This window comes from Homo sapiens, chromosome 4 (genome assembly GCF_000001405.40).
Source record: "Homo sapiens chromosome 4, GRCh38.p14 Primary Assembly".
Lineage (NCBI taxonomy): Eukaryota > Metazoa > Chordata > Mammalia > Primates > Hominidae > Homo > Homo sapiens.
The window spans coordinates 71,854,384-71,861,297 of record NC_000004.12 but is presented as its reverse complement, the minus strand read 5'-3'; the positions used below and the strand labels follow the sequence as shown (position 1 = coordinate 71,861,297).

At 35.1% G+C, this 6,914-nt stretch overlaps 1 annotated feature.

Annotated features, from left to right (window-relative positions):
• Positions 1,954–5,292: an enhancer, noted in NCBI's record as "VISTA enhancer hs2570". NCBI's record gives its function as "enhancer in: heart[3/4]" and the evidence as "EXISTENCE:transgenic organism evidence [ECO:0001131][PMID:17130149]".

Below are 6,914 nucleotides of genomic sequence, written 5' to 3'. Positions count from 1 at the left end.
AGGGAGTTAACTTTCATAAATAATCTAGGTAAACTATTAAATGAAGTAATAAAGTAAACATAATAAAATAAATTATTATAAACAAATTTGCCATATAATTTAGATACTAAGGTTATATTAATAGATACTATTTAAATGTCTGGGTAATTTCCCGTTTAAAAATTATAAAAAAACATTTTTTTAAAATGTGTGTTCTTATTGAAAGGTGAATATTTTTTGTCTAACTCAAAAGTTATTTAGAGGTTACATACAAAACAAGGTAAAAAGAACCAGGAAATAAGAGGGAGGTAAAGAAAGTTATAGATATAAAGAGGCATTTTTGGTCAGGAAGGTTAAAAGGAAAGTGATCTTATATGAGAATCTTCTACAATGAATTTTTGTCCTAAAATAAGATGACTGGTTCTTCAAGAAAGAGGGATATTTAGGACAAAACAGGGAGTCCAAGCATGTCGTGGATGTTCTATGTAAGTCATAAAAAGGTTAGTAAAAGAGGTATTTTTTTAAAAAAGGTAGTATAGTTCAGTTGGCTATCATTAAAGGAAATTATCATAGACTTTCTAGAGATGGGTCTTTGATATTAAAAATACACAAATCAAAATGACAGAATTAGTTAAAACAAGATCTTATTAAAAATATTGAGTTACTTTTAATGCAAGAAGTTTTTAATTTTTAAATTCTATAATCTGTTTCTTTTTGACATTATTCAGATTAATATCTCAGGTCCACCCTGCTGCTTCAGCTCCTTTTTTATTTTATTTTATTTTATTTTTTGAGATGGAGTTTCACTCTTGCAGCCTGGAGTGCAATGGTACAATCTTGGCTCACTGCAAACTCCTCCTCCTGGATTCAAGCAATTCTCCTGCCTCAGCCTCCCGAGTAACTGAGACTACAGGTGGCCACCACCACGCCCAGCTAATTTTTGTATTTTTAGTAGAGATGGGATTTCACCATGTTGCCCAGCCTGATGTTGAACTCCTGACCTAAGATGACCTGCCCACCTTGGCCTCCCACAGTGCTGCTATTATGGGTGTGAGCCACCACACCCACCCCTCAGCTCCTCTCTTTTAAAAAGGCCTTGTATGGTAACTCTCTTTCACCTTTGGTTGGCTATTGTAACTTTTTAAAATTAATAATCTAAAGTAAGGGAGATAATATTTTTTGAAAACAGGCAAATTAAATATCTTTTAGACCTGCCTTTTTTATTCTGCATACCTATTATAGCTCTAGCCTTATAATATGTCATGTGGAAGTAGTATTTCACTACTGAACTATATGAAAGAGCTAATCAATTGACTTGAAAAAAAAAGTAAGTGCTTATTAGACTGGTAGGCTAATAGGGCTAACTCGGATGCCTTTTAATTCACATGACCTTGGCAATCTTTGATAAAATTAATTTGGTAAATTTGATCTCAACATTCTCTCCAATAATTTAAAATCTTAAAAGTCATGTTATGGTAAGTTAAGTAATCTTGTTTTTGTATTTTTTTCCACCGAGATTTGGGTTACTAAGTTAAAATAGTAGGAGAGTAACGTGGTTTTTGGTGAGGTTTATAAAACACAAAGATATCAATTTTGCTAAAAAAATATATTTTTTCTAGTTAAGAAACTAAGAGTCACTTTAAAGTGAAGGAAAAATGATACAGCTAAAACTAAATGGATGAAAAGAAAAATTAAGCCAGGGCAACAATAGTTACCTCTGAGACCTGTGGTTACCAAGAAGGGGGAAGGGCAAAACCAAGTAACTATCAAAAACAGAAGGTATAATGTAAAAGAATTTTTCCATTTTTAAATTGGTGTCATCAGTTTCTTGAAAAATCTATACCATAGTGGATTGTAAAAATAACCACTTTAAGGACAAAATTCTTAATTTTAAATACTATAGAATTTAAGAGATTGTTTGGGTTGATGCAGGACCCACAGCTCAGTATTTAACAATGACTAATGAGTGTATGTGATCCAAATGCACAGGAGGTTATTCTTGGTTATTCCAACCAGCCTAGTGGACCAGATAAATGCCACTGTAAAATCTGTTTTCCTTGAGAAGGAGACTGCCCTATAAAATTCCAAGTGGAACACCCCAGATGAAGCAGTTAACAGGCCTCATTTGTGAGCCATGTGGGACTGGCTTTATGATGACTGGGATATCCTCCCACTGAATATGCCTATTACCCAGGCCATGGTAAATTTGGGGGTTAAGAGGGCCCCTTGTACATGGGTGCCCACCTCCCCCCTCCACCCCATGGAATCATACAACTGTTTGAGAAGCCTTATCAAATTTGCTGTCCCTCATGGGTCCTACAGATGCAACTCCCTGCTGGGAACCCAAACCCTTTTTCACCAGAAAAGGCAAAATATTCTAGGGGGTAGGAAAAAAAAGTTCCTGAGACCAGGACATAAAAATATGCATGTTAATAAAATTATGATATTTAAGATGTTTGAACAGGGTTTATGTAAGGTGGTTGTAACCCCTTTACCTAAATGTCTTATAAAAATGGGTTTTGTATCTGACAGGGAGATGTTTTCTCTATCTAGTACTATAAAACTAAAAGCATGGAAATCTGCTCTTTGAGAAATGTTAATTGGACACACTAAATGGGAACTAGTAAGATTGCCTGAGCTCACAGAATATAGGGTAGAAGCTGAAGTACAGTACTAGTCAGGACAAATTCTCTACCTCATAGCCCTTTGTGGAGCATGTATTGGGGGTTATGGCAAAAGACTGCGAGTATTTCCCAATGACAACTACTAGACTAGAGAATTTCCACTTGAGGGTATTTATTATCTTGCTATGGAACGTTAACTGAAGCTACTCCTGTGCTAATGAAAATAATGGTGCCCAAAAGAGTTCCATGATAAAATAAAAATGGTTTACATAGGATCTTGCTACCTGGGAATACAAGGAGTAGACTCATGAGCAGGAAACCTTTTTTTTTTTCTCCCAAGGACTGTAAGGTTAGCCGAGAGAAAGGAAAAATAGACCCAAAGTCAGGCAAGCACGTTTTTGTTAACCTGCCGGCTGCCCCCTTAACAGTCAGAGGAAGCAGCCCCAAGCTTACAGAACAAGGGTTTTGTATTGAGGAGGGGAGTTTGAGGGAGTTCTTTGGTATGGCCACATCCTGGGATTGTTTGCTGGTTAATTTTGCCTCATATCACCTTGAGACATTTATAGTAGCAGCTAGACGAACAGGAACTTACAGGAGGGTGTAGGTAAACTTTGTTTATGCTTCCCAAGACCTCCCCCTGTGCGATCAGGTTGGTTTATAATTGGAGTTTGCTTATCGCAGAAAGGCCTGATAGGTGAAGTCTGCTGGCTTCACTGCAGCACCTAGATAAGGGCTTAGGAATGTAAAGAGGCTTGGGGGAAGGGTGGGCAGCATGGAGAAGAGTTGCAGAGTATTAGGGGGAGGGGTGGGCAGCACCAAGAAGCTTTCCTGAGGCAGTTTGTCCCTAACAAGGACTGTCTCTAACTATGCAAAGAGCTGCTAAATTCTACAGCGCCTGATAGCAGCTCTCCTGTAACAAGAGCTGTTTAGCACGTAAATGGCAGTTCCAAGGTGAACAAACTCTTGTTCGGAAGGCTGCTGCTCTGATTAAAGAAGGCTCAAAAAACTCTTTTTTTCTTTAGAGTTATTTGGGTGAAGTATATTTTTTATAAGCAAATTTACCTTTCTCTCTGAGTTCTGCAAAAATTTGGATTATGATTTTATGACAATATAAATATTTGCATAAGTTTAATAAGAGATTTTAAAACAGAACAATTGGAGACACTGATTGTTTTACCAAGACTTTGACCAAAATATCATTTTTAGGTAAAGTTCCAGCAAAGCCAACTTAAAAGAAGCCTATATGGCCAATCAATTCTTGCTGCATTTTATGCAAATAATCAGGCTAAGTATAATAAGCCTAAAACTTATTTTGCACACAAATTGGTCCTATTATAGTTTCTCTTTAATAGAAAAGGAGGGCTACAGAAAGAAAAATTGTTTCAAAGATAAAGTGTAACACTTGATACTAGATTTCAGCCCTAACTTTTGTTTTTTTGAGTGCAGATTGAATCATAAATTATTTCTTAGCTACAATAATCTCTAGAAAGTACCCGATTATAATTTTTGTTCATATCTTTAATTGGTGCCCTAATAGAATAAGTTCCTTTTTCTGTTTCTGACACACACATATTCTTTTGATTGTCAAAATATTAATGTTGTTTATTTATCCTTGTTTTACTTCCAAGGAAACAAAAAAATCATTGTATTCTGAAGGTCAGAGATTCAAGTCTCCCTCATCTGGCATCCCACTGTTTGGCAGCATCCCTGCTGCTAAAACCTTACAAGCACCCTTCCTTTGGGCTTAGGGACTGTCACAGAATAGATGGGTGCATGAGATTGTAAAGGCTGGTTTTGAGGAATAGAATTAGGTCAAGGTCCAAATCAAGGAGGGGTACAAAGATGCCTAAACAGCTCGCAAAAGAAGAGATTTTTCCATCTAAGCTATTCTGTGGCACTTTTGCATTCAACCCAACCATCAAGAATTTTCTGCTTCCTGTAGAATTAAAAGAAAATATTTACTGGCAGGATAATGATACTTTGTGACAAAGCCTCCTGGGTATAATACTCCCAGATATGAGTTGTAGAGATAGACATATTGTTTTAAATGTCTTTTTCAGAACAGTGCTTATGTTTTTGTACAGCTCATTGCTATAAGTCTGTACTAATACCAAGATTACTGTAGCTGAATGCATAGAAGTTAAGGATAAGTCAGTTTTTGCCTTTAGTTTTTGTTTGTTGGCTTTTTACTTAAAATAATAATTTTAAGAGGTAGTAAATGCCTGTCTACATCTATTCCTATCTGGCCTAGAACATTTAATTGGCTAAAAGCCTTTAGACTCTAAGACCCTTGGCCATGGGAAGTCCCACCATATAACAGGATGGACCTGGAGCAGCAGCCATGCCACACTAGCAACGTTATGAGACAAAATAAAGATTTGCTGGCCATTGATGTTGTCCCTGGCAAATCTTGCCAGAAGGAGGAGAATGTAACCAAAAATAAAATTCTAAGGCCTCCAACTATCTGAATGAACTTCCTCCTAGGCCAAGGTACTCTAAAATTTAACCCTAAAGACTGGTTTAGACCATGACAGGAAGTTGGGATCAGACATGCCTCATTACATCCTCCAGTATTAACATCAACACAGACCTTAGGTCTGATAAGAAACATTTACAGTGCATTCTCTCTGAAGCCTGTTACCTGAAGTCTTCAGCTGCATAATAAGAACTTTGACCTCCACAAACCCTTATTTTAACCCAGATATTTCCTTTCTGTTGATCCCAAGTCTTTAGATTAACTCAACCAATTGTCAACCAGAAAATGTTTAAATCTACCTATAACCTGGAACCCCCACACCTCGCCTTCCCACTTCAAGTTGTCCTGCCTTTCAGAACCTAACCAAACCAGTATACATCCTAAATGTATTTGACTGATGTTTTATGTCTCCCAAAAATGTATAAAACCAAGCTGTGCCCCAACCACCTTAGGCACATGTTCTCAGGATCTCCTGAGGGCTGTGTCACAGGCCATGGTCACTCATATTTGGCTCAGAATAAATCTCTTTAAATATCTTACAGAGTTTGACTCTTTTCGTCGACAATTTGAAAATTAAGAAATTTGCTTTAGCAGTTTAAAAGTTCAAATGGACTAGATACCCTATAAAATACTTTGGGAAACCTTCATTAAAATTAATTCAGATTGTTTGAATCCAGTTGTCAGAATTGTTCAAAATAATTGCCACATTTACATGTTTATCTTTTTACGCACTTTCCTTTTTCTTTTCTCTAGGTTAGTGGGGCAGGAAAAGGCAGAGAAAAGGCATTTTTTTTTTTCTGAAACTCAAATCTTCCTGGGATCATTTTCCTTTTTCTAAAGTACATTCCTAAAAATTTCTCTTAGTGAAGGAGGCTGTTAGTAGTAAATAACATCAGTTTCTGGGGGGGTGATATTCTTGAAATATGCAAGTGTTCACCTTCTATCAACATTTCACTTAATAGTTTTAACACTGATTTTTTATCCATTGCTGAATCAATTCTTTCATAAGAATTTTCAAAAATAGTACTTTTCTAATTACTTATTTTTTTATAATTTTTAGCTGGCATGATTCTTACATATATACACATAAACATGCATATACATATATGTACATATGTGTTTACACACATATACATTTGTATATCTTTTTATATATTTATAGTATATTTATATTTATTATATATATAGTTTTCTTCATCTTCTGGTGGTATCTACTTCCCAGAAATGCCAATTTTCAGAATAAAGAATTGAATAATAACCTTAATTGAAGACAAAGGAGATAGTAACCTCAAATGAAGACAAAGAATTTTTTGTTTATTGGTGTTTTCTCTCTCTCTCATATCATTAATGAATTTCTTGATTTTTATATATTAAATTAAGATTTCCTTATTCACTAATAAAATGAGTTCATAATGAACCTAGAATTTTCACTCCTTTGTGTCTAAAAGGAAAAGGCTTTTAAAAGACAGCTGATGGTAAGTTTGTTTTGACTAATAAATTATGGAATTTGTAGAAAAGGCCATCTTCCTCAGGTGTATAAACAAATAAAGAATTTATGTTCTGTGCTATAGCCTTTTAGTGAAAACTATACTTCCTTACTCTTTCATTACATTTCCAAGAGCACTTGGAAATGTTCTATAGTATTAGACTAAAATCTATATCTATATCTACTTTATAGGTAGATTTTGAAAAGTGTATTCTTATAGGACTAAATACTATACGTAGAATAACATAGAAACAGAACACTTACCAATCATTTGTATACATTCATTAAAAATAATATATTAGAGAAATTATTTATGTTATTGTCCTATAAGTAATATAATTAGAATGGT